The sequence below is a fragment of the Homo sapiens genome, chromosome 5 (genome assembly GCF_000001405.40).
Source record: "Homo sapiens chromosome 5, GRCh38.p14 Primary Assembly".
NCBI lineage: Eukaryota > Metazoa > Chordata > Mammalia > Primates > Hominidae > Homo > Homo sapiens.
The window spans coordinates 891,996-919,867 of record NC_000005.10 but is presented as its reverse complement, the minus strand read 5'-3'; the positions used below and the strand labels follow the sequence as shown (position 1 = coordinate 919,867).

General features: G+C 50.7%; 2 protein-coding genes across 28 annotated transcripts in view, besides 8 other annotated features; one reads left to right on the top strand and one right to left on the bottom strand.

Annotated features, from left to right (window-relative positions):
- Positions 1 to 544: an enhancer, noted in NCBI's record as "NANOG-H3K27ac hESC enhancer chr5:919439-919982 (GRCh37/hg19 assembly coordinates)". NCBI's record gives its function as "activates a minimal SCP1, AML or CMV promoter by ChIP-STARR-seq in naive H9 embryonic stem cells {active_cell/tissue: H9 hESC(naive)}" and the evidence as "EXISTENCE:reporter gene assay evidence [ECO:0000049][PMID:30033119]".
- TRIP13 (thyroid hormone receptor interactor 13) lies at positions 520 to 26,984 on the bottom strand. Of its 4 annotated transcripts, XM_011514163.2 has the most exons (14): positions 26,778 to 26,984; positions 24,916 to 25,081; positions 23,074 to 23,203; positions 19,319 to 19,374; positions 18,437 to 18,527; positions 15,648 to 15,720; positions 12,675 to 12,738; positions 11,794 to 11,880; positions 11,407 to 11,513; positions 7,872 to 8,025; positions 5,291 to 5,403; positions 3,895 to 3,964; positions 2,717 to 2,860; positions 520 to 848 (listed from the first exon to the last, which is right to left on the bottom strand). In XM_011514163.2, exons 1-13 carry the CDS (start codon positions 26,867 to 26,869, stop codon positions 2,765 to 2,767), a joined length of 1,299 nt encoding a protein of 432 aa, XP_011512465.1. In that variant the 5' UTR covers positions 26,870 to 26,984; the 3' UTR covers positions 520 to 848; positions 2,717 to 2,764. The 4 variants fall into 4 exon arrangements, with proteins under 4 accessions (XP_011512465.1, NP_004228.1, XP_047273835.1 ...); NM_004237.4 differs by lacking the exon at positions 520 to 848 and having other exon boundaries at positions 1,748 to 2,860; XM_047417879.1 differs by lacking the exons at positions 520 to 848; positions 26,778 to 26,984 and adding an exon at positions 25,170 to 25,187 and having other exon boundaries at positions 1,748 to 2,860.
- Positions 545 to 1,088: an enhancer, noted in NCBI's record as "H3K27ac hESC enhancer chr5:918895-919438 (GRCh37/hg19 assembly coordinates)". NCBI's record gives its function as "activates a minimal SCP1, AML or CMV promoter by ChIP-STARR-seq in primed H9 embryonic stem cells {active_cell/tissue: H9 hESC(primed)}" and the evidence as "EXISTENCE:reporter gene assay evidence [ECO:0000049][PMID:30033119]".
- Positions 2,505 to 3,074: an enhancer, noted in NCBI's record as "H3K4me1 hESC enhancer chr5:916909-917478 (GRCh37/hg19 assembly coordinates)". NCBI's record gives its function as "activates a minimal SCP1, AML or CMV promoter by ChIP-STARR-seq in primed H9 embryonic stem cells {active_cell/tissue: H9 hESC(primed)}" and the evidence as "EXISTENCE:reporter gene assay evidence [ECO:0000049][PMID:30033119]".
- Positions 16,480 to 16,774: a silencer, noted in NCBI's record as "tiled region #1606; HepG2 Repressive non-DNase unmatched - State 12:CtcfO, and K562 Repressive non-DNase unmatched - State 12:CtcfO". NCBI's record gives its function as "represses a minimal TATA promoter and a strong SV40 promoter by Sharpr-MPRA in HepG2 and K562 cells {active_cell/tissue: HepG2 | K562}" and the evidence as "EXISTENCE:reporter gene assay evidence [ECO:0000049][PMID:27701403]".
- Positions 26,698 to 27,317: a silencer, noted in NCBI's record as "silent region_15878". NCBI's record gives its function as "represses an Ori minimal core promoter by ATAC-STARR-seq in GM12878 lymphoblastoid cells {active_cell/tissue: GM12878}" and the evidence as "EXISTENCE:reporter gene assay evidence [ECO:0000049][PMID:35858748]".
- Positions 26,698 to 27,726: a biological region, named in NCBI's record as "H3K27ac hESC enhancer GRCh37_chr5:892285-892917".
- Positions 27,066 to 27,698: an enhancer, noted in NCBI's record as "H3K27ac hESC enhancer chr5:892285-892917 (GRCh37/hg19 assembly coordinates)". NCBI's record gives its function as "activates a minimal SCP1, AML or CMV promoter by ChIP-STARR-seq in primed H9 embryonic stem cells {active_cell/tissue: H9 hESC(primed)}" and the evidence as "EXISTENCE:reporter gene assay evidence [ECO:0000049][PMID:30033119]".
- The window catches only part of BRD9 (bromodomain containing 9), a 29,061-nt gene continuing 28,255 nt past the window's right edge, over positions 27,067 to 27,872 (top strand). For 18 of the 24 annotated variants that reach the window (XR_007058631.1, NM_001375879.1, NM_023924.5 and 15 more), the window contains exon 1: positions 27,067 to 27,262. Coding sequence is in view for 16 of the 24 variants with exons in the window: in NM_001375879.1 (NP_001362808.1) it covers positions 27,211 to 27,262 (52 nt within the window). In the remaining 8 variants the exon portion in view is untranslated. Of the gene's footprint in view, positions 27,263 to 27,317; positions 27,782 to 27,872 lie in introns of those variants that run through there. The other 6 variants (NR_184210.1, NM_001009877.3, XM_047417605.1 and 3 more) reach the window with 2 other exon arrangements.
- Positions 27,508 to 27,726: a silencer, noted in NCBI's record as "fragment chr5:892257-892475 (GRCh37/hg19 assembly coordinates)". NCBI's record gives its function as "represses an EF-1alpha promoter that drives an FKBP-Casp9 reporter gene in an ReSE screen in HepG2 liver carcinoma cells and phorbol 12-myristate 13-acetate-treated (for megakaryocytic differentiation) K562 erythroleukemia cells {active_cell/tissue: HepG2 | K562(+PMA)}" and the evidence as "EXISTENCE:reporter gene assay evidence [ECO:0000049][PMID:32094911]".

The window sequence follows — 27,872 nt, the reverse complement described above, 5'->3', positions numbered from 1 at the left end:
TTAAAAAAATAAGCAAATTGTCTTTATTCCCAGCTGGCACAATCAAGTGCCTAAAGAATCCTAAGAATGCTGTCAAAAAACTACTAGAATTAATATGTTTAAAAGTCGTATTTCTATACTGAAATTGCCATTTTCAACCTCTATTTCTTAGTAAGGTTGTGCTGCGGTAGGTCTCTGAACTTGGGCAAGTACTTTGTTATCAGTTGATCTCTTAATCCCCATTTTGCAGAGGTCATGCAGTTAAACACAACAATCATCCTACTGTTGACATGTGAAATTCCCTGAATTCCCACTCGGTTAATAGCCTGAAGGGACTTCAAGGACACAGCCTGGTTTCTCTACCACAGGTATCTTATTTTCAGGAACTTGACACCTGCAATGAGTCCATGAGAAGTCCCTGCCACTGCCGAGTCCCACCACATCCAGTGGGCCTGCCTGAGACGCACGAGCCAGCGGCCTCCAGAATTCAAGTGTGGTTTCAGAAGTGGTGTAAATGAAATGGCACGTTTATCACTCATCTATCTTTTGATTGATTGATTTTATATAACAAGCAAATCAAACAGGACAAACTCAGATGGCCTGAGCTGTTTGGACCCACAGATCTCATCTGAGTGCAGCATGGGCTCCACAAGGCTGACCTCCATGACCTTGGTGTCCTGTCAAGACTTGCCCAGTGATACTGGAGCTGGGGTCCACAGCACCTCACCCATACTCATCCTCCATAACTGCAGGGAACCTTCTGTCATGCCTTCCAAGCTATGTCCTTCACAGCAATTCAGGTTTGGCAATTTTTTCTTTTCTTCGGCAGCAAGAATATTGTACCTTTTGTCTTCTAGACATGCGTCTGCCTGTGATGGTTAATACTGAGTGTCAACTTAATCAGATTGAAGGATACAAAGTATTGATCCTGGGTGTGTCTGTGAGGGTGTTGTCAAAGGAGATTAACATTTGAGTCACTGGGCTGGTAAAGGCAGACCCACCCTTAACCTGGGTGGGCACCATCTAATCAGCTGCCAGTGAGGCTACAATATAAGCAGGGAGAACAATGTGAAAAGGCGAGACGGGCCTAACCTCCCAGCCTACATCTTTCTCCTGTGCTGGATGCTTCCTGCCCTCAAATATCGGACTCCAAGTTCTTCAGTTTTGGGACTCGGAGTGGCTCTCCTTGCTGAAGCTTGCGATGGCCTACTGTGGGACCTTGTGATCATGTGAGTTAATACTTAATAAACTCCCCTTTATATATGTATCTATCTATTCCATTAGTTCTGTCCCTCTAGAGAACCCTAATACACTGCCTTTACTCTCAGATGAGTCTTTTGCCTTATTCACTATACCCCACCCCCAACTGTTTTAAAAAGCTCAAATTGTTTCTTGAAGAACTTGTGAGTACAAGGGCCGCAAGCCACTGTGGACCCCAAGCTGACTCCTGGAGAGTGGAGGTGGGGGAGCTGTTAGGGTTGTGCCCACTGGTGAAAAGATCCTTTAACAGCACTGACATGCATGGACTGGGCCCACTCCTCAACCTGCCACCCCCAGAGCCAGGCTCTGCTTTCCACGGCAGGAGTGGCTCCGGGTTCTGAATCTAGAGTTAAGGCCCAGCAGACGACACGGTGACCAGAACCTGCATATGCCTTGGCCTTGGTGATCTACCTCCTGAATCTGCACCTGGGCCACTGGCACCTTCCCAATTTCTTCTGGATGATGCAGTTACACCATAAGGTCCCCACACCATAAATCAGGCTTAAAGTTAAGTAATCATGTGAGTAATTTTTAGTAAAATTAAAAGCACTTGGAAGAGATACTTAGAATCAAAACAAGAAAATTCTAAAAAATATTTTAATACTTGAAAACTTCTAAAACAAAAGGTAAGGTAACATGTTCTTTCAAAAGTGAATTTCACATGCAAACCATTAATTATATTTATTTTACTGTGAGATAAAAGCAAAACATAACATTCGGAGAAAGAGACCAGTAACTGACCTATTTATTTTATATTATATTAATGTGAATCCTCATTAGAAATGTGATAACGTTATTGCACAAACAAAACCGTGGGCAGAAACATCCCAGCAATGCAGGGGCGCCCATACCGGGTTACAAGGGATGTCCAGCATGTGTTTCCCTGGAACACTCAGAGTCTGCACTTTTCCTGCAAATGGGACCATGTCTGATTATTTATTATGAAAGAACACTTTACCGACCATTTTTTTCTCAGTTGGTATAATGTAGAAATAGGCTTTTTTACATCCATTAAATAGTCTTGAAAACATTTTTGCACTAAATCAAACGAGCTGATATCAGAAAGCAATTGCCACCTTCCACCTGGAGTAATGTGTGCATTTTTAATGCTATGATTATATGCTTCTTTAGGGTGACACAGTTTCTCTTCTGGCTTCTATAACACCTGCATTAATCTTCCTTTTTTGCTGTTAAACAAAACTTGCTGGCATTATGCATCCCATCCACTGGGGGTGGGCTGGGAACAAACAGGTTTCGATGGTTCTTCACAAGGAGACAAACAATCTGAATTATCTTTTACAAACAGTGAAAATGACAAGATGTTTGTCTCTCAGTATGCATTTTAAAACAACATAAATAGAATACACTTCTTTTAACAAAGCCTGGCCTTGGTGGCTTTCTAGCTTGCAGTCTAAGTAACGTTTGGTTTGCAGAAGGGATTCCCTGGGAGACGGCTGTGTGGGGCAACCTCACTTACTGGTTGTGTGTTCTCCATGGGAAAAGCACCAGATGGGGAAGCCCAGGATCAGATGTAAGCTGCAAGCTTCTTTCTCTCTTCAAACTGCTTGTCCACTGCCAGAGACAGGGCCTGGAGGAACCCCTCTATGGTGACGGTGGGGGCCTAGAAGGTACACGGTCATTGCTGGAGGGGCTCAACTCACGTTTGGTGGGGCCATCTGGCATCCACAGCCCCTGCCGCCACCCACAGTGCAGATAGCACAGAAGGGGGTGGTAGCTGATAAGGTGAGCAGTGAGTGCGCACCACACACGTCCAGGACGCACATCAGCCAAGCTCTTTACTTCAGAAAAGGCGAACAAGGTGGCTACGTGACCCCCGCCCCCGCCATGTCCTGAATGTCAGAAACAGCTGCGGGGGTGGGCAGGGGAGCACCAAGGCAGCCACCCACACACTGAGAAGGATGAGAAGCTGTAGGGAGCAGACCCTGGAGGGCCCACCCTATGTCCCAGGCTTATAACCAGAGAATTCCCATGGCCCAGTGCCCAGAGCTGTCACCTCCCCTGCATCAAAAGGCTCCCACTCATGATCCATGGCCACTGTCACCTCTGTGCTGAGCACTGTGTCCAGCACAGAGGCTGCTACTGATCAGACAGAGCCTGAGTCACTTCTGATTTGAAAGGAAACATTCCAAGATGGGGGTTTTCTCTTCTCAGATGTAAGTGTATCTGCTCTGCCAGACACTGAGTCCTTACCCCAACCGGCTGCTGGGGACAGTGCAGGGGAGGGGTGAGTGCCCCAGGCCGAAGCATCTGCAACAGGCCCAGCACCCAGTGGGTGAGGCTGTGGATCCAGGTCACTGTTCTATGTGAGCTGAACCCAGACTGAAAGAGCACAAACCTCTGGTGAGGCCAGCGAGGGCCCTGGCCACGAGCTCAGCACACCACAGAGGCAGACGTGCATGTGTGTGCATGCATGCGTGTGAGCAGAGGCATGTGGCACAGCCGCCTCCTCCCAAAGGACTCAAGACAGCCCCTGTGTTTCGGTGCCAAGGTCAGCTCCTCCTCCGGCCCCAGGACCCTGTGGTTTAGAAACTGAGATAAAATGAGGCTGATACCCCAGGGCTACTAAGCGGAATCTCCGGCGAGGCTGAGACCTGTGGACAGGGCGGGTGCTGGAGGACAGCAGTGGAGACTCACCTGGACATACAGCGCATGAGCCAGAAAGGGGAGTTTTCTCAGGACCCGGCCGCTGAGGCCCTCGCTCTTCCTGTGTAAAGAAAACCCAGTTCAGAGACAGCAATTTATACAATCACACGTTTCAGGACTAATTTTCCTCATTGGCCGAGGCATCCCTGGGAACACAAGCCGAGGCGTCCCAAGCACACCCTGGGTTCACAGGGCACTTCCTGCCCCTCACTGGTCTCCTGAGCCTTGCCCTCTGAATGTCTCTTTGCCCCCGGCCTCTCGTATGGGGCCGGTCTCTCCCCATCCTCAGCTCCTGCTCTGGGAGGCAGTGTCCTCGCGGCTCTGAAGCACACCCAAGGCACACCTGTGTGCTCTGCCCCAGGGCCAGCATCCTTGTGCTCAGGGAAGGCATCACCTGCCCGGGAGCCTCTGCCCCAGGGCCAGCATCCTTGCGCTCAGGGAATGCATCACCTGCCCGGGAGCCTCTGCCCCAGGGCCAGCATCCTTGCGCTCAGGGAATGCATCACCTGCCTGGGAGCCTCTGCCCCAGGGCCAGCATCCTTGCGCTCAGGGAAGGCATCACCTGCCCGGGAGCCTCTGCCCCAGGGCCAGCATCCTTGCGCTCAGGGAAGGCATCACCTGCCTGGGAGCACCAGGCGTAAGGCACGATGCAGCGGGCACATGGTCAGTAGGCACAGAGTCCCCAAATAATGGGTGGGTTCACATCTTCAATTTTTGTAGAAGTCTCTGAACTGTTCTTCGTTCCCATCTTAACTGATTTAAATCTCTTCAACAGATAATCCAAATCCTTAAAAAATACTACATTCTTCATGTTATCCCTTGTTTAAAGCCTTCCACATTCTTGCCAACTTCAAAATAAAATTCAAACTCTGGCCAGAAACCCGAGGCTCTGTCCATTCCACCCCCCGCCTCTCCGGCACCTCCCCAGCCTCCACACTGCAACCCACTAGACGGTCACCTGAACACACTGCTCCAGCAGCCTTCCTGATTTCTCTCCAGCTGGAACCAAATTCTATCCTTCAAGGCACCGTTTGATTTTCCTACCTTCCCTTCCACCCTCCCTGGACCCCCAAAGCCATTTCCTTTCTGTGGACTCTGCGAATCCTTGTAAGTGTCGTCAGCCGTAGGGTTGCAGGCTTCCAGTGTGAGCCAGCGCCCTCCCTGAGCAAGGGTTACATCTCCTTTGGAAGGAGGTGGCTGTGCTGCGTGTTTCTACTCACATGCACACACACACACACACACACGTGTGTACATGCATGTTCATACCTATACTGTGTTGAGAGTTCACACCCAGGGCCCTCCCTGGTCTCCTCAAAGGAAACAATGACTCCCTAGTTAATATCACAAATGGATTCTTCTTGATTACAAAAATGAGGTCAATTTGCACCTTGAAATGTCATTCAAAAGAAGGCTCAATTTTGACACGTTGTTTTCAATGAAGCCAATCATCTCTAGCTCTCGGAGGGTCAGCAGCTGCTGGCGAGGGTATATGATCTGACACTGGGGAGACAGAAGTACAGGCGGTTAGCTGAGTCCACAGAGGCCTGAGCGTAGGCACCGTCAGCAAGAGGGACAGCACCTGCAGGTCAAATGTCAACCACGCCACGTCTCACAGAAATCCAGACGGTGACGACTCAAGATGCACAGCTGCACTAGGGAACAAGCTCGCTCTCTCATGCCTCTCAGCGTACACATTCTGCTTTTTCAAACAAATACAAATAACGGAACATGCCTCAGAAACCAGTAGCAACATAGCCTCTTCTGTGTTTCGAGCCAAAACTTTTCCTCCCTGTGTGTCAGGAAGGGAAGGGACCTGGAGGCACCCAGTCCAGTCTGTTATGCCACCTTCGGAGACGTCAAAACCCACAGTGGGCAGAGCTGGGACTTAGAGCCAGGACTTCCACTGACTTCCAAAGCAGGATCCTAGTTTGTCTGTTTTAAAGGTGAGGCTTGTTTGGCAGCATGACAGTGTCTGACTGACCGAGGAGCTGAGCACCAGAAGTTCCCCTCAGAGATCATTTGTCTGGAAGTCATGCTTTTCCAAGCAGCCTTGCCAACAGTCAGGTGCGCACACTGACTTACTATGACTGAATTCTAATACGAACCGTTCTGACTCAGGAACAAGGAGAAGGAAGAAAATAGCATTGTCTGAACATTTTGGAGGTTTGTTGAGGGGTGTGAGCAAAATTAAGACAGTTTGTGCTTGTGCTTTGGGGGATATTGAGCTTTCGAGACCAGTTCAATATCCACTGTGACATCTGCATGTCTTAATTTCATATAAACTGCCTAAAATAAGAAACTACCCCTATCACTGGGCACGGTGGCTCACGCCTGTAACCTCAGCACTTTGGAAGGCTGAGGTGGGCGGATCACTTGAGGTCAGGAGTTTGAGACCAGCCAGGCCAACATGATGAAACCCTTTCTCTACTGAAAATACAAAAATTAGCCAGGTGTGGTGGCATGCACCTGTAATCCCAGCTACTCACGAAGCTGAGGCACGAGAATCGCTTGAACCCAGGAGGCGGAGGTTGCAGTGAGCTGCGATGGCACCACTGTACTCCAGCTCTAGGTAAGAGTGAGACTGTGTCTCAAAATAAACAAACAAACAAAAAACTACCCCTGTCCTACACTGTCCCAGAAAAAGTCCATCCCTCTTAGCTAACACTTTAAACAGCCCCTGGATTCACAGCACGAGTGTACAAGTGTATAAACGTCACACTGCGAGGGCTGGAACCCACACTGAAGGTGCGTGAGGACCTCCAACACACACGACTTCCTCGCAGGATCTGCTATCACGTGGGGCTCCTTGGCAGCAAAACTGCTGTAGAATCAGTCTTCAGATCACTGGCATTCTCCAGGCAAAGCTCCACAGAGCTCCGTCTCCTTTCCCCAACCCCCAAGAAAACCATGCCTGGACAGTGCTGACCCGGGCAGGCCCAGTGGGTCCATGGCTGAGACCAGTTCTCCCGTCCCCAACCACAGCAGGGTGTGCCATCCTTGTTAACACCCCTACTCTGTGGTACCAGCAGGTGGCAACAACTGCATTAAACTCATCACTGTTTAAATCCCCATTCACTGGTTTGCTTGGTTACCGCCCAACTACCCTAAACAAAGGCCCCTGCAGGATGATTTGTCTGGGACAGGTCTGTTCCCACAGGGGCTAGAGCAGCAGAAACACAAGCATGGGGCAGGTCCCTGCTAGCCTGACTCACACACACCGCAGCGTCACTGCCCATGGCGACGGCGTTCCAGACTCACGCACACTCACCACACGCGTCACTGTGCCCATGGCGACGGCCTTACTGACTCACACTCACCGCACATGTCATTGTGCCCGTGGCGACGGCCCTCCTGACTCACACTCACCGCACGTCACTGTGCCCGTGGCGACGGCCCTCCTGACTCACACACGCTCCCCGCACGCGTCGCTCTGCCCGTGGCGACGGCCTTCCTGACTCACACACACAACCCGCACGCGTCGCTCTGCCCACGGCAACAGTGTTCCTGCCTATCATCACAACAGGCGACTCAAGAACGTGACGTCATGTGGACCCCGTGACCAAAACCAGGCCCATACTACGCCCGTGATGTTTCCTCTTTCAGGTAAGGATACAGGCCCCCGAGAGGCAGGGCATTGGAAAAGCCCGGGGTAAGCTGAGAACTAAGGTTTGTGCAGCCAGCCAGGTAAACACAGCCGGTCACTGACGTCCCCTACACTGACTGGTACCTCAAATAATGAACAATGATGACTGTATTGTGCCAAAAGAACAAAAATATTGAGTCAGTGGCCCTAGTTTCAACTATCAGCTCAACCTGTCACATACAAAACTAGTTTTCAATTTAAGAAGGGAGTTAATGCATATGTTGAAATCCTCCGTACTGGAACGAGCTTATTTTAAGCTATCTTAATTAATTAAGAACATATAAGAAATCCATTTGTATCAAGAGGAAAAAAAAAATAAAGGTACCTTCATCAGTTCTTCCAAACAAGAGAGGTAGATTTTGAAGATGGCTGCTGCAGAGGGTGGCCCAATGTACTGCTTGATGTCAGCCCTGTCCACGAAGGCCACGTCGATCTTCTCGGTGATGTTAGAAGTGGTCAGAATCACAACATTGGAATGCCTGTTGTGGCCGAGAAGCAAGCACCACAGTCATCACGGCTGTCGGTGACCCAATTCTATCCTGCCCTATCTGGCAAGGAGGTTGGCAGGACGATGGCCAGCAGGCTGCCAACAGGAAGGAAAGTGGCCTTGTGCCAACACAGGCCACGCAGACCCCCCAGCCTTTGCTCTCGCTGCTCCTTGGCCTTCTGGGAATTCTACAGCCCCACTTCGCTCATTCCCTCACTGCCTTCAACCTTGGCAAGGATCTCACTTTCCTTTTTTTTTTTTTTTGAGACAGAGTCTCGCTCTTTCGCCCAGGCTGGAGTGCAGTGGTGCTATCTCGGCTCACTGCAAGCTCCGCCTCGCCGGTTCACACCATTCTCCTGCCTCAGCCTCCCAAGTAGCCGGGACTACAGGCGCCCGCCACCGTGCCCGGCTAATTTTTTGTATTTTTAGTGGAGACGGGGTTTCACCGTGTTAGCCAGGATGGTCTCGATCTCCTGACCTCGTGATCCGCCTGCCTCGGCCTCCCAAAGTGCTGGGATTACAGGCGTAAGCCACCGCGCCCGGCCTAGCAAGGATCTCACTTTCGCATGGCGTTCCTGATTGTGCCACCTACCGTGGGCTCTGGTGCCCACCACCACCTGGGCATGGCCACTCATCATCCCTAGACATACTCTAGAGCTGGGTTACTTCCCATGTTCATGATCTGCTCTCCCCTCTAGCGTCTAAACTCCATAGAGAGAGCCCCTGTTGTCTGGTCTGTTGACCAATGTCCCCCAAGGACCCAGCATGAGCCAGCAGAGCGGGCACAAGGTGCCCCCAGGGAGCATGCTGCACAGGCCTGGGGGGCGTGGCTGCACATGTGGCAGTGCTACCACTGCTGCCTGGGGAAGGTCAACTTCACCTAGACCCTGGCCAAGGGAGGGCAGGCCCTGTGCCTGCGCGCCGGGGTGAGCTAAGCAGAGGCAGGACAGGGAGCCTGTGGGTCCCCGGCAGAGGAACAAGGCACAGAGGTTGGGTGAGCTCACAGCTGCTCAGTCCAGCACCAGGAGGGTGGGGCTGCAGGAAGGGCCAGAGGGAGGCCTAGGCCTGCAGATCACGACCCAGGGGCTGACAATCCAGAGATGCGGGAGTGGACAGGACTGGTGGGGGACAGAAAGAGTCCTCTAGAGAGGGGCTGGAACCAGAAGCACGAGGGAATGAAGGCAAGAGAGGCAAGCGTGTCTCCTTGTTTCTTCCTGAGCCACACCCCCTTGTGACTGACAGGGAGAAGTCACGGTGGCCTCCATCCTCTGGTTTGAGTGGCAGGTGCACAGCGAGGCCATCAGCGTCGTGTGGAATCCCAGGAAGTTAGGGATTTGGGGCCCAGTGAGCAGTGTGGGAGTGTGCCTGGCATCCCGGGCATCTAAGCCTGATGTCTGGTCACAGGTGGATGTGCAGGTCTGGGATTCCCCCCACAGAACCCTGAGCTATGCTGAAGGGGCACACGCCAGGAGAGAAGGCCACAGACAGGCTGTGTAGACCCCTCCCTGCGGAGAGACGCCAGCAGCATAAACCGGGGAGACAGGAGAATGGAGGCCGGGGAGGGAGGCACAAAGAGATTCAGGGAAGGGGCCATCAGGGTGTCAGCGCTGTGCAAAGTTCCAGAAAGAGAAAAGGGAACACTCATGTGAATGCGGGGCTGCTGGGCTGCGGCGGGGGCAGGAGCCAGATTGCAGTAGACTGAGAGACAAGCCAGGTGGGGAAGGAAGTGGACAAGAGGAGAAGGAAGCCAGAGGCAGGGGAGGCCCCCCTCCAGGACCTGCACACTTGTTGGGGACAAGCCCCCCAAAATCTGGCCATAAACTGGCCCCAAAACTGGCCATAACAAAATCTCTGCAGCACTGTGACATGTTCATGATGGCCATAACGCCCACACTAGAAGGTTGTCGGTTTACCAGAATGAGGGCAAGGGACACCTGGCCCGCCCAGGGTGGAAAACCGCTTAAAGGCGTTCTTAAGCCACAGACAATAGCATGAGCGATCTGTGCCTTAAGGACATGCTCCTGCTGCAGTTAACTAGCCCCACCTATTCCTTTAATTCGGCCTATCCCTTCGTTTCCCGTAAGGGATACTTTTAGTTAATTTAATATCTATAGAAACAATGCTAATGACTGGCTTGCTGTTAATAAATACGTGGGTAAACCTCTGTTCGGGGCTCTCAGCTCTGAAGGCTGTGCGACCCCTACTTCCCACTTCACACCTCTATATTTGTGTGTGTGTGTGTCTTTAATTCCTCTAGCGCCGCTGGGTTAGGGTCTCCCCGACCGAGCTGGTCTTGGCACACATTCCTGCAGCTGACCCCAAAACGAGCGCTTCTCAGGAAGCCAGATACGCTCTCTGTGGTGAGACAGTGGTGATGGCCTGGACAAAACGTTCCTCTGCACAGTTCAGTCTGCTGTCACCCCACACTCAACAATCCAGCTTCTGAGAATGCCAGGGACTCCCCAGGCACCCTGAGGACAGAAAGAACATTTCACAGAAGGAACCTGAGTCCTGGCTGAGCACCACACAGGGACAGGCAGGTTCTGGCTCGCCCATCACTTCCTTGGGAGTTGGGCCAGCAGCTGTCGCTCCTTAAGCTTGATAAACTTGGGCTACAATGACAACAGGCCCTGGCCCTGTGAGGCTGGGCTGTGGAGACGTGGACCATCTGCACACGAAGCTGTCTGTCCTGGGCCAGCAGGGCGAGCAGGGGACAGCCATTCACCTACGAGCAGCACTAGTTGGTGCTGACAGTGGGTGGGATAGGAGAGAAGTGGGTGGGATAAGGCCTGAACGTAGCAGTTCTTCATTTTATGCTTTTCTGTGCTACGTAAAATGCTTACCATGCCTGAGTTTTCTTTCACATTTTTTTTTTCTGAGACGGAGTCTTGCTCTGTCACCCAGGCTGGAGTGCAGTGGCATGATCTCGGCTCACTGCAAGTTCTGCCTCCCGGGTTCACACCATTCTCCTGCCTCAGCCTCCAGAGTAGCTGGGACTACAGGCGCCCGCCATCATGCCCAGCTAATTTTTTGTATTTTTAGTAGAGACAGGGTTTCACCGTGTCAGCCAGGATGGTCTCAATCTACTGACCTTGTGATCCGCCTGCCTCGGCCTCCCAAAGTGCTGGGATTACAGGTGTGAGCCACCGCGCCTGGCCTTCTATTACATTTTTAACACACTAAAAACAATTTCTTTAAAAAGCATTTGTGATATGCTGCTTCCAATGTGGAAAAGGAGTCGATACTCAATGCCAAATGCACTTTCCGGTGAAAGAGCTGGGCACTAAGATCTAGGGTTGCACAAGTATCACGCATTTCTTTGGGACAAACTTCTCATCACTTCTCAGGGAAAATTGCTGCATGTCCTGGTTACCTTTTAATCTGATCAATTTGGGTCAAGACAGCATTGACCACGCGGATGGCATCTGATGGCTCGGTGCCCGCCCTGCAGGCATTTCGGGCGGCTGTGAGACTCTCCACCTGTTGGGAGGGAGCAGTGGGGTCAAAAAGGACAGGGCCTGGCACTTCACAGGCAGCTATGGGGATACGTCCCGCTGAGCACGTGAAAAAGATGAATGAATGGGTGTTCCCGTGCCTAGCCTGCGGATGCTGCGGCAAGGTGGAAAGGCGCACAGTGCAGGGAGGGATAGAGGGCAGCCCGGCTGTAGGAGGGGAAAGCTAGGAGCATCAGGAGTAGGCTGTGTCCCCACAATGGCAAAAGGCGATTCTGTCATGAATTTCCTTATCTGGAAATGCCTACCTCATCAATCAGCACGAACACCAGGGCGTCTTTATCATCAATCAAATCCTGAATCTTCTGAAACATCTTGGTTACCAGCTTGCCACTCTGGAACCCAAACACCCTTTTAGTGTCAACGTGCAGGGACCACACTGCCAGGTGCACAGGGGGACCCTGATGTGGCCTGCTGCCCCAGTTGTCCCCACAAGCCCACTGTCTCCTGACGGCCCCTCAGAAAGCTCCCTAAATCAGAGAAGCTAGGGCAGCATGGGAGGAGGTCAGCCTAACACTCTTCCCCTCTGCTTTGAATGCCAGGGTGCTGAGACCTGAGACCACACCTGACCTGCCCGGGGCGGCACAGTGAGGGTGACCTGTACCTCTGCTTTACCTGTGTGTCCTCTCTGATGAGGAAAAGAGGCAGACCACAGATGCAAACAGGCTGGGATGCACTCCTCACAGGCTCTCCTGTGCCCAGCGTGCCTGGTCCCACCTCACCTCACCAGAGGGATGTGCGGATGCCAGGTGACTTGGGCACAGCTCCTCAGAGGTAAGAATCACATGTGACATCACCTTGTCTGACCCCCTCAACTCACAGACAGTGCTAGGGCGCATGAGCACCAAGGACATGCATGGCAGGGCTGCAGTCCCCTGAGTGCCAGCCCTGCCCTTCTGAGAGTCCATCGATTGTCCTGTCCCACCCAGTCACAGGTCTGGGGAGAACCAAGGGAGGGTCCCCAAGGGCCCCAGCTCCGGAACCTTCTCTGATCACAGTCAGCCCCAATCCTCACACACCCTTCCCACCCAGTTCTCTCCTGAAGCTTCTGGAGGAGGATTTGCCTAACATACAAGACATTTTTTCAGCTATACAATCCAGACAATTAGAATTAATATTTAATACTTACTTCCGAAAACCACTTAGAAAAGAGGCTGTGGCTGTTTATTTCAATTAATTGGCCATATCGGTACCTGAGATAGAAAAAAGGAGTTGAGAGAATTACTAACTGGTCCTGTGGATCCTCAGCGGCAGCCATTCACGCGTCCTGAATGCAACATCTCAAGTGCCCAGCATCGGGGGAATTACAATTACTGACAAAGAATTGAGGAATCCAGCCCTCCGTGTACTAAATAATTATGAAAAAGTCTAACAAGATTCAATCAGTAGTTCTAGACTGTATCAATTGAGTTAAAGAGTAAAAACTCCCATTTTATATCTATTTACAAATTATATTTCTATGTTTAAAAATATTAGCAGTACTAACATAAGACAGAAAACAAAACAAAATAGAAGCATCAAGAGCTTTTGGCAGGAGCTGAGCATTTTCCCCTCCTTCCACAGAACCCTAAACAGCACAGACCCCAGAGCCCAGGAATGCTCAGGTGGCCCAAAGTTAACCTTAACACACACAGACTGACTGGAACCCAGAAACACTCCTCTATCCATTCAGAAGCCCGCAGACAGATCTGGGCGTGCTTAGCTGCTGACTAAATCACCAGAGAACAAGACTGAGGCCAGAGAGAAACTGACTTCCAGGTCCTCTTTTCAGTTGCTTCCATGTCAAAAGTCCACAAAAGAAAAAGAATTACGTTCAAGAAGCATCACTGGCATTCCACGTAAAAAAGAGAGAGACCGTTTACTGATACTGTTTATTAAAACAGTGGAGGGATACAGACAATCTAACAAAATATAGACTGGGTTGAATATTAAACAAAATTAATTATAAAACATTTTGATTCTTTGATAGAGTGAGGAAAAGTCTTGCTAGGACTTCTTTTTGCCATTTCTAAGCCATAAAACCAATGCATATTTCCAGATCTTTGTACTGGAAAAAGCTATATTCCTTACAATAACATTTTCCTTCTCTTGTGTTGCCCTCTCTGCCCCTAGAGATCTTTTTTGGTTACTCTTTGGAGGCAGGGTCTCACTCCCGTCACCCAGGCTCACCACAGCCTGGACCTCCTGGGCTAAGGTGATCCTCCCACCTCAGCCTCAAAAGAAGCTGGGACCACAGGCATGTGCTCCCAGCTAATTTTTTGTATTTTTTTGTAGAGACAGGGTTTCTCCATGTTGGCCAGGCTGGTCTCAAACTCCTGGTTTCAAATGATCCACCTGCCTCAGCCTCCCAAAGCGCTGGGATTACAGGCATTGAGCCGCCATGCTGGCATGCCCCTAGAGATCTTGAAAACACACATGTATTTCAATATGTCAAAGCAAAGGGCAAGTTGCTAAACATAAGCTAAGGGGTCAAAATAAAGCAATTTCCCTATGTAAAAACATTTACAAGACATTTTTGAAGAACAAAAATTATGTATACGAAATTAAACCTCACAGGATTTCCGCTAGTCATACTGGAGTAACAGGAAGCAGATTTACCATCTAATCTTAAATGAGAAAACCTCATTTAAGGCAAAATGGATGAAATGACATCTGGTAAGGTTGCTGTACACAGGGCAGTGAGGGCTGGGACTCCTGAGTCGGAAGACCAGGGACCCTCTCTACAAATGCTCTAACTTTCTTGCCGGGAGGCATCTTCCAACCACAGGCACGGGAGGGAGCCCAAGTGGAGCACAGCCACTCGCTGAGTCGAGGAGACAGAGATTGGAGTTCAGGGAGTCTGAAGTGACTGAAGGCTGCAGAACAGAATTCCAGAGGGGAAGGAAATATGAAGAAATACCTCAGAAGGAGTGCCCAGGATCCTCATGGCGCCCCCGATGTCCTGGATGAATACTCAGGTGTGTGTGAGCAGGGGACATTCCCTGCAGCTATGTAAAGGGCGCCCGTGGTCTGTGAGCTGAAGGGCTCCTGGACCTCACACAGGCTGAGAGGAGTGCATACTCCGACCGCCAGAGTGGAGAGTGCCCACGGATCCTTCAGCACACTCAGTGGAGACCCCAGAGGACCACAATTGAGTGTTAAGACCAAACCTAAACCCCTCCCAGTCAAAGCTTAAAAAAACCAAACCTCAAAGGATCACACCAAATCACAAGTAATGGAAATGCCTAACGGAACAAAATCTAACACTCACTAAAGGAACACACAATCCACACACTTCAGATCACAATGTTCAGCAGCTAATCAAACACTACCTAACATGCTAACAAAGCAAAACCATGTGACCCCTAACCAGAAGAAAAACCAGTCAATAGAAACACAATCAGAAATGACAATCATGATGGAATTAGCAGACAGAACATTAAAACAGCTATTATGGGGTTGTTCAAGACGTGAACGAGAACATAATGAAAAAACAGTATAAAAAGAATCAAATAGAACAGAGCAGAAAAATACACTATCAGACATAACAACTTCACTGAATGGAATTAAAAGCAGATTAGACGATGTAGAAAATCAGTCAACTTAAAATACGGCAATAGAAACTTTCGAATAAAACATATTTCTAAAGAACTGAAAAAAAAAATGAAAAAGCACAGGAGTGGCCTGTGGAACAACATCAAACAGTCTAACATGAAAGCAGACAGAGTCCCAGATAAAGGGGAGGGTCAAGGAAATTCAGTGAGGAAACAATGACCAGGTATTTTCCAAATGTGATGAAAACCATAAGCCCCAAACAGACAGAACTCAAGAGGAAAAGACAAATCCGTAATTAGAGACGAACACTGCATCCAGCAAGGGGAGAAAGTATAGTCTTCTGAAGTGCAATTCACCAGCAGAGATCATGTGCTGGCAATCAAGTAAGTCTCAAATCTTAAAAGACTGAAATCATAACTCAAAACTATGCTGAATACAGAGGAATCAAGTGACTTACAGTGGAGAGGAATCTATTATTTGCGTAAAATGATTTAGAAAAAAAAAAAAACAACCTCCCGTTATAAATCCCATTCCCATGGCTCTCCTCTCACAGATTACCGAAAGTTACCTGCTTGAAAGTCTAATTGTCAATTTCTGGGCTAACGCTTTACACAGGGATGTTTTTCCAGTGCCAGGAGGACCTGTGACAAAGATCCAAGCAAATATATTTTTAAGTCAGTGCTACAACAAATTTCTTAAAACAACAGTAACTTCCATTATCCATAAAATATAAGGAATACAGTTAAAAGCTATTAATGTTATTACTACAATGAAGTCTGCTTAGAAACTTAAATGCTATGAAATATTACCAATACACTTACGTCTCCCCCTCTTTCTTATTTGTACTCAACTTCGTATTTCTGGTCTCAGCCTCCATCGCCTCCCCACCCCCAGCACTGCTCCCAGCTTCTCGGCCTACAGTCTCACTTAGCGTCGGGAATGAACATTGCATTTTCTAGCCTACATCTTTGCTGACACCTGTCCTTGTCCCCACTCTTCCTTTATGAAATCCACTCATCAAGGCACCTTTCAGAGATCAAACACACCTTTCTTGATAAATGGAGGTGGAGGGGTCATGTGTTATTCCTGTTGCCCCCAGAACCACCCTCTTTCCTAAGACAATTCTCAGTGGGCTCATACCCCATACTAGAAGAGGCAGAGGCCAGCACTCTTCTTGCACGCCTGCCTGCCAAGCGTCCCCTAGCATGATGTGGGCGGCAAGCCACCCAGGTGCCGAGGCAAGAGACCGAGGGCACGAGCTGTTCCAGTATAATAAAATAAATAAAATAAGAATAATTATACTAGATATAGATCTTAGATATGATTATATATGAATATTAATCATTAATTTGTAGCAATTACTCTTTATTCCAATATTATAATAATCCTTGCTCTACAATCATAACCTAGGAAAAACCAGGCCATACAGAGATAGGAGCTGAGGGGACATAGTGAGAAGTGACTAGAAGACAAGAGTGCGAGCCTTCTGTTATGCCTGGACAGGGCCACCAGAGGGCTCCTTGGTCTAGCAGTAATGCCAGCGTCTGGGAAGAAGCCCGCTGCCAAGCTGACCGTGGTCTAATGGTAGCGTCAGTGTCAAGGAAAAACACCTGCTACTTAGCAGACCGGGAAAGGGAGTCTCCCTTTCCCCCGGGGAGTTTAGAGAAGACTCTACCCCTCCACCTCTTGTGGAGGGCCTGACATTAGTCAGACCCGCCCGCAGTCATCCAGAGGCCTGTCTCCCTGTGATGCTGTGCTTCAGTGGTCATGCTCCTAGTCCGCCTTCATGTTCCATCCTGTACACCTGGCTCTGCCTTTTAGCTAGCAGTAGCAAATTAGTGAAAGTACTAAAAGTCTCTGATATGCAGAAATAATGGTGTAAGCCGTCTCTCTGTTTCTCTTCTCTCTCTCTGCCTCAGCTGCCAGGCAGGGAAGGGTCCCCTGTCCAGTGGACACGTGACCCACGTGACCTTACCTATCAGTGGAGATGGCTCACACTCCTTACCCTGCCCCTTTGTCTTGTATCCAATATATATCAGCGCAGCCTGGCATTCGGGGCCACTACCGGTCTCCGCGTCTTGGTGGTAGTGGTCCCCCAGGCCCAGCTGTCTTTTATCTCTTTGTCTTGTGTCTTTATTTCTACACTCTCTCGTCTTTGCACATGGGGAGAAAACTCACCAACCCTGTGGGGCTGGACCCTACAAAAGATGCCTCACAGAAGCTGCGAGGTGACCAATATGGAAAAAGGAAAGCATCTAACAGAAAATGGAGACATACAACTCTAATTTTCTGCAGGTATTTTCAAGAATTAAAGAGGAAATACGTAACTGGTTCCAAACAGAAACAACTTATTTCACTAATTAAAACACCTGCTGCTTACTCTGACTGTGCTATGAGGGCAGTATGCGGGGCCTGTCTGCTCTTTAAAAGAACATTGTGTTTTAAGGTCACTTTGTCACGCAATCTTAACTGACTTAAAGAAGCCAAGTACCCTTCAAGCTTCTATTTAACACTTGGCTACAGTTTCATACTCTCGAGTCCACTCAATTCCCGTGTCCCCATTCTACCCGGTGATATTGACAACAAAACAAAACAAAACCAAACAACAAACCATCAGTATTTTCTCCTGAGAAGAACCAGACAGAATTTCTTTAAAATATGGCTTTTTCAGTTTACTCCTCACAAAGTAAAGCTCTGAGTACTACAAGCCTAATTTATAAGTTAAGCTTTATCATAGGAATGTCTGTAGGAAAAAATAGTCTACATAAGGTTTAGTATTATCCACGTTTGGGGCATCTGAGGATGTCTTGGAATGTGGCCCCCCACAGGAAGACTTGATTAAGTGCCGAGTAATCAATGCCCCAGGGGCCGCGCGCGGTGGCTCAAGCCTGTAATCCCAGCACTTTGGGAGGCTGAGGCGGGCGGATCACCTGAGGTCAGGAGTTTGAGACCAGCCTGGTCAACGTGGTGAAACCCCGTCTCTACTAAAAATACAAAACTTAGCTGGGTGTGGTGGCGCATGCCTGTAATCCCAGCTACTCGGGAGGCTGAGGTAGGAGAGTTGCTGGAACCTGGGAGGAACCCAGGAAGTGGAGGTTGCAGTGAGCCGAGATCGGGCCACTGCACTCCAGCCTGGTCGACAGCGAGACTCTGTCTCAAAAACAAAAACAAACAAACAAACAAAAAATGTCCCAAGTGTCATGAGCTGGATCTGCTTCACAGAGAGGGGACATTCTAGGACAGCTGTGGCTCCTTCAGAAAACAAAGAGCCGTAACTCCTTGCAGAAGGACGAAGGTACAAGTAAAGGCTAAATTTCATGCCACTTATCTGGTCAAATAAAAGCCTGCATAATTTACCGTGGAGCAGCACCACCCGGTTCCAGGTGATGAGGTTGCTGTTGACGTTCTTGTCTGAAAACAGTAAAGTTGTCATCACATAATCGAGGAGCTGATAGAGAAAAAGAAAAGAGCTTGACAAAGATACCAACAAGGCAAAGGTCCCCAAGAAATGTGCCCTCCCCCAGGGCTTAATCCTACATGAGAAGAGGGAGCACAGGGAGCGAGGCCGCCTCCTAAGAGATCATCACCTCCAAACGCTTTCATTTCAGAAGAGAAGGTGCTTCCAAAAGGGAAAAGGAAAAACACTGGCTATTACTATTATAAATATAAGAAGAGCAACAAAATGATCACTTTTATTTAAAGTGCCAACATTAAACAAAACCACTAAGGGGTTTGTTTATCAAGTAATGAGTAAGCTCCTTCCCTAGAATGATACAGCAGTTATTATTCGCAAAATAACAACAGCCACAATGCAGAGGAGCAGTCTGAGTGATAGTCTCAGACTATCAATGCAGAGGACAGCTGAGTGATAGTCTTCTAGCCAGCTGCTGGCATGGGAAAGACCCTTCCCGTTGAAGAGGGTGCAGGGGTTAAGACACACCGGCCTTTCCTTTGTGCGGACCAGGCTTGCTCACCTTCCCTCCTCCCATCTCCAGAGGGTTTAATTCTCTAAGTTGCCTTCACGTTCTCCCTTTCCCTCTTCTCCCTCAGGGAGCTCCTCAGAGACCAGCTCTACTCTGGAGCAATACTAGAGGATAGATGTCCAGGACAAGGGCTGCCAGCAGACAGGGGCTCCCAAAAACCCATCTGCATCAAGTTGCTCAGGGGTGTTGGAGAGCAAAACAGTAATGGTTCCTCTTCAAATAACAGGGCATTCTGGGAAAAGGCACAGCAACTTACATGGGATTTGACTTCCACATCGTATACCAAGCTGTCCCAAAGCCCATGGAATTCAGCTGTGACAGAATTAAACAAAGACCTGATTTCAGGAAGGCAAGCAATTACAGCCACCCCCAGTCAGTCTCCCCTGAGCCTAAGCCTGAGCTTCCCATTGTGCTGCTCCAGGCAAGACTATGATTCTGATTACAGGAAAGTATAAATTCTGCAAATTTTTCTTCAAATTTTGATTTTTATTAAAATCAAAGATGCAAAATAAATGCCAGTCACATGTAACTTCTGGCAGACAACTGGATGGAGTCAAAGAATTACACTTTACGTCTCATTATCACGCACAATTGTCTTTTAAAAAAACTTTAACTTCCCATCCTTCTTTAAGGTATTGTTGTCATTTATTTTCCATTGACGTATAACATAATCCCCACAATATGTTTTCATTAAACTATCATTTTTTGGTGGTGAACAACACATTATAAAATTTATGATCATAGCCACTTACAATTGTCTTTTATCCATATGCTTCAGCACAAGTCCAGATGCCAAATCCACCTGTTTCCCCACACACTGACTGAATGAAGCCCTGGGCTTGGCCTGCTAGAGCCCATCCAAATCCACCTGTTTCCCCACACACTGACTGAATGAAGCCCTGGGCTTGGCCTGCCAGAGCCCATCCAAATCCACCTGTTTCCCCACACACTGAATGAAGCCCTGGGCTTGGCCTGCCAGAGCCCATCCAAATCCACCTGTTTCCCCACACACTGACTGAATGAAGCCCTGGGCTTGGCCTGCCAGAGCCCATCCAAATCCACCTGTTTCCCCACACACTGACTGCATGAAGCCCTGGGCTTGGCCTGCCAGAGCCCATCCAAATCCACCTGTTTCCCCACACACTGACTGCATGAAGCCCTGGGCTTGGCCTGCCAGAGCCCATCCAAATCCACCTGTTTCCCCACACACTGACTGAATGAAGCCCTGGGCTTGGCCTGCCAGAGCCCATCCAAATCCACCTGTTTCCCCACACACTGACTGCATGAAGCCCTGGGCTTGGCCTGCCAGAGCCCATCCAAATCCACCTGTTTCCCCACACACTGACTGCATGAAGCCCTGGGCTTGGCCTGCCAGAGCCCATCCAAATCCACCTGTTTCCCCACACACTGACTGAATGAAGCCCTGGGCTTGGCCTGCCAGAGCCCATCCAAATCCACCTGTTTCCCCACACACTGACTGAATGAAGCCCTGGGCTTGGCCTGCCAGAGCCCATCCAAATCCACCTGTTTCCCCACACACTGACTGCATGAAGCCCTGGGCTTGGCCTGCCAGAGCCCATCCAAATCCACCTGTTTCCCCACACACTGACTGCATGAAGCCCTGGGCTTGGCCTGCCAGAGCCCATCCAAATCCACCTGTTTCCCCACACACTGACTGAATGAAGCCCTGGGCTTGGCCTGCCAGAGCCCATCCAAATCCACCTGTTTCCCCACACACTGACTGCATGAAGCCCTGGGCTTGGCCTGCCAGAGCCCATCCAAATCCACCTGTTTCCCCACACACTGACTGCATGAAGCCCTGGGCTTGGCCTGCCAGAGCCCATCCAAATCCACCTGTTTCCCCACACACTGACTGAATGAAGCCCTGGGCTTGGCCTGCCAGAGCCCATCCAAATCCACCTGTTTCCCCACACACTGACTGCATGAAGCCCTGGGCTTGGCCTGCCAGAGCCCATCCAAATCCACCTGTTTCCCCACACACTGACTGAATGAAGCCCTGGGCTTGGCCTGCCAGAGCCCATCCAAATCCACCTGTTTCCCCACACACTGACTGAATGAAGCCCTGGGCTTGGCCTGCCAGAGCCCATCCAAATCCACCTGTTTCCCCACACACTGACTGAATGAAGCCCTGGGCTTGGCCTGCCAGAGCCCATCCAAATCCACCTGTTTCCCCACACACTGACTGAATGAAGCCCTGGGCTTGGCCTGCCAGAGCCCATCCAAATCCACCTGTTTCCCCACACACTGACTGAATGAAGCCCTGGGCTTGGCCTGCCAGAGCCCATCCAAATCCACCTGTTTCCCCACACACTGACTGAATGAAGCCCTGGGCTTGGCCTGCCAGAGCCCATCCAAATCCACCTGTTTCCCCACACACTGACTGAATGAAGCCCTGGGCTTGGCCTGCCAGAGCCCATCCAAATCCACCTGTTTCCCCACACACTGACTGAATGAAGCCCTGGGCTTGGCCTGCCAGAGCCCATCCAAATCCACCTGTTTCCCCACACACTGACTGAATGAAGCCCTGGGCTTGGCCTGCCAGAGCCCATCCAAATCCACCTGTTTCCCCACACACTGACTGAATGAAGCCCTGGGCTTGGCCTGCCAGAGCCCATCCAAATCCACCTGTTTCCCCACACACTGACTGAATGAAGCCCTGGGCTTGGCCTGCCAGAGCCCATCCAAATCCACCTGTTTCCCCACACACTGACTGAATGAAGCCCTGGGCTTGGCCTGCCAGAGCCCATCCAAATCCACCTGTTTCCCCACACACTGACTGCATGAAGCCCTGGGCTTGGCCTGCCAGAGCCCATCCAAATCCACCTGTTTCCCCACACACTGACTGAATGAAGCCCTGGGCTTGGCCTGCCAGAGCCCATCCAAATCCACCTGTTTCCCCACACACTGACTGCATGAAGCCCTGGGCTTGGCCTGCCAGAGCCCATCCAAATCCACCTGTTTCCCCACACACTGACTGAATGAAGCCCTGGGCTTGGCCTGCCAGAGCCCATCCAAATCCACCTGTTTCCCCACACACTGACTGAATGAAGCCCTGGGCTTGGCCTGCCAGAGCCCATCCAAATCCACCTGTTTCCCCACACACTGACTGAATGAAGCCCTGGGCTTGGCCTGCCAGAGCCCATCCAAATCCACCTGTTTCCCCACACACTGACTGAATGAAGCCCTGGGCTTGGCCTGCCAGAGCCCATCCAAATCCACCTGTTTCCCCACACACTGACTGAATGAAGCCCTGGGCTTGGCCTGCCAGAGCCCATCCAAATCCACCTGTTTCCCCACACACTGACTGCATGAAGCCCTGGGCTTGGCCTGCCAGAGCCCATCCAAATCCACCTGTTTCCCCACACACTGACTGAATGAAGCCCTGGGCTTGGCCTGCCAGAGCCCATCCAAATCCACCTGTTTCCCCACACACTGAATGAATGAAGCCCTGGGCTTGGCCTGCTAGAGCCCATCCAAATCCACCTGTTTCCCCACACACTGACTGAATGAAGCCCTGGGCTTGGCCTGCTAGAGCCCATCCAAATCCACCTGTTTCCCCACACACTGACTGAATGAAGCCCTGGGCTTGGCCTGCTAGAGCCCATCCAAATCCACCTGTTTCCCCACACACTGACTGAATGAAGCCGTGGGCTTGGCCTGCTAGAGCCCATCAGCAATGCCCACGGAGAAGCATCAAGCAGACAAGGAGCCACTCAGCAGGACAGACCAAGCAGGCATGTGAGAAGAGCACATGGGCACTCTCCGTTAGCCAGGAACTCTAAGGTACCCACCCAAAGGAACAGTATGGTCCCACACTGGAAATCTCTACTTTCCTCTTTTGTGATATACTTTCCATTTCATAAGAGAGAAAACATCCTAAAATCCTACAAAACAAATGGACAAACAGAACCCCCCCTGTGAACTGACATGGCATGGAGTATACAATCCTCTGACCTCAGCCTCCCCTTCAACTCCCATCACACCCCATACCTGCAGGTAGAACCCAGTGATTTGCTGCAATTATGTTTTCTGTCTCTTCCTCCAGATTTTCACTGCTGGGGCCATCTTCATTCAGCTGGAAAATGTGAAGTGCAACAGTGCATGCACTCAAATCGATGGGCTAAAATGAGGGAAAAGCCAATATCGACACACATTTCCAACTCTCACTTAACTGCAACCATACAAATTAGATGTTAAGGTCTACAAATAAAAACTGAATGTACAGTATAATCAAAGCTAGTTCTCAGATTAGATGAGAAGGCTATTATTTTATTTCAGATTGAGGATTGGCTCTTTTGAAAGCTAATACCCATCCCTTGCTCTTTGGGCCCTACATTTACTTACAGAATGAAAAAGTGCCCTAAATCCAGCCTCCGGGACGTTATTATATAAATACACTCACACAGATGGGACCAAAAACTGAGTTTTATCATATAAGGTTTTTTGTTTTTTTTTAATTAACTTATTTTTTGCAACGGGATCTTGCTTTGTCGCCCAGGCTAGAGTGCAGCAGCACGATCACAGCTCACAGCAACATTAAATTCCTGGACTCAAGTGATCCTCCCACCTCCAGCCTTCTGAGTAGCTGACACTACAAGTGTGCGCCACCGCACTGGCTAATTTTTTAAAACTCTTTTTAGAGACGGGGTCTTGCTATGATCCCCGGGCCATTCTCCAATTCCTGGCCTCAAGTGATCCTTCCATCCTTCTCCCACAGTGCTGGGACTACAGGCATGAGCCACCTTGCCCAGTCGGTTTCCTAACTGTGTCTTTTTACATTTGTTATTAACTCAGAGAAATGTTTACATTGGTAGATAGAAATCTATTTCATTCTTCTTAATGGCTATATTGTACATAGTGTAGATATATGGAATTCCTACATTTATTAACTGACCTCTGGTGGACAGTTAAAATATTTCAAATTGTTGGCTATTATTAACAGCATCTAACAAACATCTGTTCAGAAAGATCTACAAAATTGCATGATTATCAGCTACGATAAATTCCTACAAGTGAATCTGCAGTCAGAGAACATTAGAACTTTCCCTGGGCAGCCCGTGCCCTCCAGTTAGGGTGTCCATCCCTCCACAACAGTGTGGGAAGCTCTTCCTTCCCTCAGACTGGCCAAAACCACGGCATTATCAGATCTCAGTGTGCACAAAGCTCTGAGCATGCACAAACATGAGTCCTAACGTATGAATGGGGAGGTCCACCTCACGAGCAGAACTTAGTACCAAGCCTGTCCTTCACAGCTGGTTCTTACAGGACAGGAATTGTACTGCTGTAAGTGATAAGTCTTCCTTAGGAATGTTTCAGGTTGTTTTTATACTGGTGCCAGAATCGCCCCAATGCCTCCACGCCCTCACACAAAGCTCCTCTAACCCATACGCATCAACTCAGATGGTGGGTGAGGTGGCCATGCATGGGATGAGATAAAGGAATTCTATAAGGCAAGCCCATCTTCTCATCTCTGTGGCCCCACACCTCCTATGGTCCTAGCACACACTGAGCACTTTATAAACATTTGCTGATTGAAAGAATGAGACATGGCACACAGGCCTTACCAGCGCAGCCCACTATTGTACAGCACTGCATTCTCATTCCTGGTTTCCAATCTGTTACTGCTATACTGAGAGCACCCCGACATCAGGGCTACTTCCTACTCCCAGCACCTGGCTCCTGACAGCTAGTGAAAAGAACTTGTCTAGCCACCCAAACCAACAGAGAAGTGAACCTGTTTCTGACAACAGGCTATGAAAACGGCAAGACATTCATGATACAACCTTTTGTATTCAGCTAACTGTTCCTTGGCCCAGCAAATTAGTAACTTACCTGTGAGTCTTTAACCTTTAATTCTGTGTCAATAATAGACACAGACTGCACATTTCTGGTCAAAAAAGGTTCATCAAACTCAGTCCATGTGTAATCACCAAACACAATATTATGTCTGTTGAGTAGCTTTCTAACACTCAGGTTTATGTCTTCTTTCTTTGCAGTGCTAAAAAAAGAAGCCAAAACACACATAAATGATCTTAGTTCAAAAACAAAATGTTAAAATGAAGTGTTTTGAAAAACTCAGACAATACATAAGAAAGCCCAGTAGTTAACAGGGTAAGTTGGAGTTGGCCTGCCTGGGACCAAATCTAGAGCCACCCCTTGCCTGTGGGTCCTCTACCAGCTGTGCCCTGAAGAAGCTGTGCCTCAGCTCCCAGTTAGAAAAAGGGGACAACAGTAAGAGTTCTCGCTATGCTGGGCTACTGTGAAGTCATTAATACACTCAAAGTGTTTAGGACGATACCTGGCACATAGTAAGCACGCAATAATGTTGGCTTTCACTATTACTAATGAAGTTCCACAGCTGTGGGGTCAGGCCTGGGGTCTGCATTGTAACAAGTCTCCAATAGCCGTGATTCGTGCTGAGAAAATCTAATGCTTTCAGCTTGGTATCCAGGGCTTCCCTTGGTCCCCCTTGCTGCAGTCCTCCTAACACCTCCCCTTTCTACAACAGTGACCTGGTCCCGGATCACACCTCTGTGCCCTGCTATGCACTGTCCCAGCTTACTGGCCTGATCAACTGCAGTCACCCTCTAAGTCCTATTCAATGTCTGCCTCCCTCTGAGCCCTCCTGGACAGGCTCCTCAGAGCCAGGCAGGTGACATGTGGCCCCTTTGCAATCGTCCCAGCACCCTACAAGCAGCGACCACCATGCATAGTGCGGTTGTGTGCAGGTGTCTATGAACTCTGGTGCAGTTGTACGTAGGTGTCTGTCCTCTAGGTGCAGCTGTGCTCTGGTGTGATTATGCCTAGCGTCTCTGGGCCCAGGTGTGGTTGTACATGGGGTGTCTCTAGGCTGCGGTGGCACTGTGTACAGGTGTCTCTGAGCGCTAAGGTGTTTACACAGGTGTCGCCAGGCTGTGATGGGGCTTTGTGCAGGTGTCTCTGGGCCCTGGTGCAATTATGCTGACGTGTCTGAACTCCAGCACCTAGAAAATACCCAGTCAACAGCTATTCTGTTAAAGGAAAGGTCTCTTCCTCTGCATCCCCTCTGAGGCTGGTGGTCTCACCTGACCTCAATCCACCCTCCGTGGACATAAGGAGGGTCTGTGAAGGTCTGGCCCCGCCGCTGAGTTCCCCCCACTCCAGGGAGCAGCACAGCCCACAGGCCCCACCATACCATGAACTGACTTGGTCACAAATGAGTGGGATGTGCTTTGAACCCTAAAAATTTAACATCGAGTCCGTGAGGAACGGGAACAATTAAAGGGTCTGAGAAGCAGTGGCTCAAAGAATAACCACCCAGCTTTCGGCTGAGACTAGAGCTCTCTGTAATGCGCAGCCATCCTATTCTCCAACGTGGGACTCAGGGCCACATCAATGCACTGGAGGACAGCCGGGGCAGGGGCAGGGTCAGGGCCAGGTCCGTGAGCTGAGGTCGGGTCGGGGCTCAATCTGTGAGCTGGGGTCCTGCGCGCAGGGCTCGGGTCGGCCGGGTCAGTGCCCTGCGGTGGGGTCGCGTCATTGCGCTAGGATCCGGTCGGGGCCCGGCGGCCTGTGCGCCCGGGTCCAGTCGGGCCGGATCAGTACCCTGGGGTTCGGTCGCATCAGAATCAGTGCGCTGGGGTCGGGGCTCGGTGCACGCGCTGGGGTCGGGGCGGGTGGGTGCCCAGAGGATGTGTCGGACAGGTCCGGCTCACCTGCTGCCGCGCTGATGCACCTCCACGTGGACCGTTGGCGACTCGGCCACACAGGGAAGCGCCTGCTTCAGGTCGCCCACGGCCTCGTCCATGGCGCCCCCGAGAGCAGTGGGGACCCAACCAGGGCGCGGCCGCCGCCACCTCACGCCCAGCGTCGCCGCCACAGCCGCTGCCTCAGCCCGCGGGCCCCGCCCTAGCTTCGAATCTGCCGCGCGAGGCGCACCACCTCCTGACCCGGAAGCGCTCGGGCCCGGCAGGGCCACTTCCTGCCGCGGCCCCGCCTCGCCCCGTTTCCGGCGCGGCCCAGCGAGCTCGGCAACCTCGGCGCAGCGAGCGCGGGCGGCCAGCCAGGGCCAGGGGGCGGTGGCGGCCAAGGTCCGACCGGGTGCCAGCTGTTCCCAGCCCCCGCCTCGGGCCCGCCGCCGGCGCCGCCATGGGCAAGAAGCACAAGAAGCACAAGGCCGAGTGGCGCTCGTCCTACGAGGGTGAGGCGGCGGCGCTTTGTGACGCGCGGCGGGCGGGGTCCCGGGCACGGGGGAGGAGTTCCGGGCACGCGGACGGGGGTCCTGGGCACCGGGCGAGGTCCTGGCCACGAGGGAGGGGTTCTGGGCACGCGGGAGGGGGTCCTGGGATTTCGGGCAGGGAACCGGGCACACGTGAGGGGTCCTGGGTAGGCGCTTACGTTCCTGGTAGAGGGTTCTGGGTTCGAGGCTGCAAGCCCACTCACCCCGGTCCTGGAGACTAGGGAAGCATCTGTGCTGGCTTTTGTGTGGAGCTCAGGGAGAAGCTGGGCTGCCCTTTCTCCCGCCTTTCCCTCCCTCTCCCTTGCTCCCGCAGCAGCTCCATGGGTGTCAGCGGGCAGCACGGGCGCCTGCAGGAAGTCAGGCGAGGGTGAACCGAAGTGCTGGGGGTTTCTAGGAGGGAGATCGGGCTCCGGGGTTCCAGGTCCCTCTTAATCCATCTTCTTGAACGAGTAATGTGAACAACATCCCACAGGGCCTCTGGTGAGGACACCGTGGCTCGAAAGGGACCTGAAGCTCCCTGCGGAGGGGAAGGGAGAACAAGGAGGCAGTGACATGCCGCCACTGTGGTCTT

Coding starts and splice junctions, on each gene's coding strand:
- TRIP13 (XM_011514163.2), bottom strand. CDS start 26,869: ATGGACGAGGCCGTGGGCGACCTGAAGCAGGCGCTTCCCTGTGTGGCC. Junction 19,375..23,073: donor TCACTGGGTTCTACCTGCAG/GTATGGGGTGTG, acceptor ATTCTGTCACAG/CTGAATTCCATGGGCTTTGG. Junction 3,965..5,290: donor CTTTTGAATGACATTTCAAG/GTGCAAATTGAC, acceptor TTCTTTACACAG/GAAGAGCGAGGGCCTCAGCG.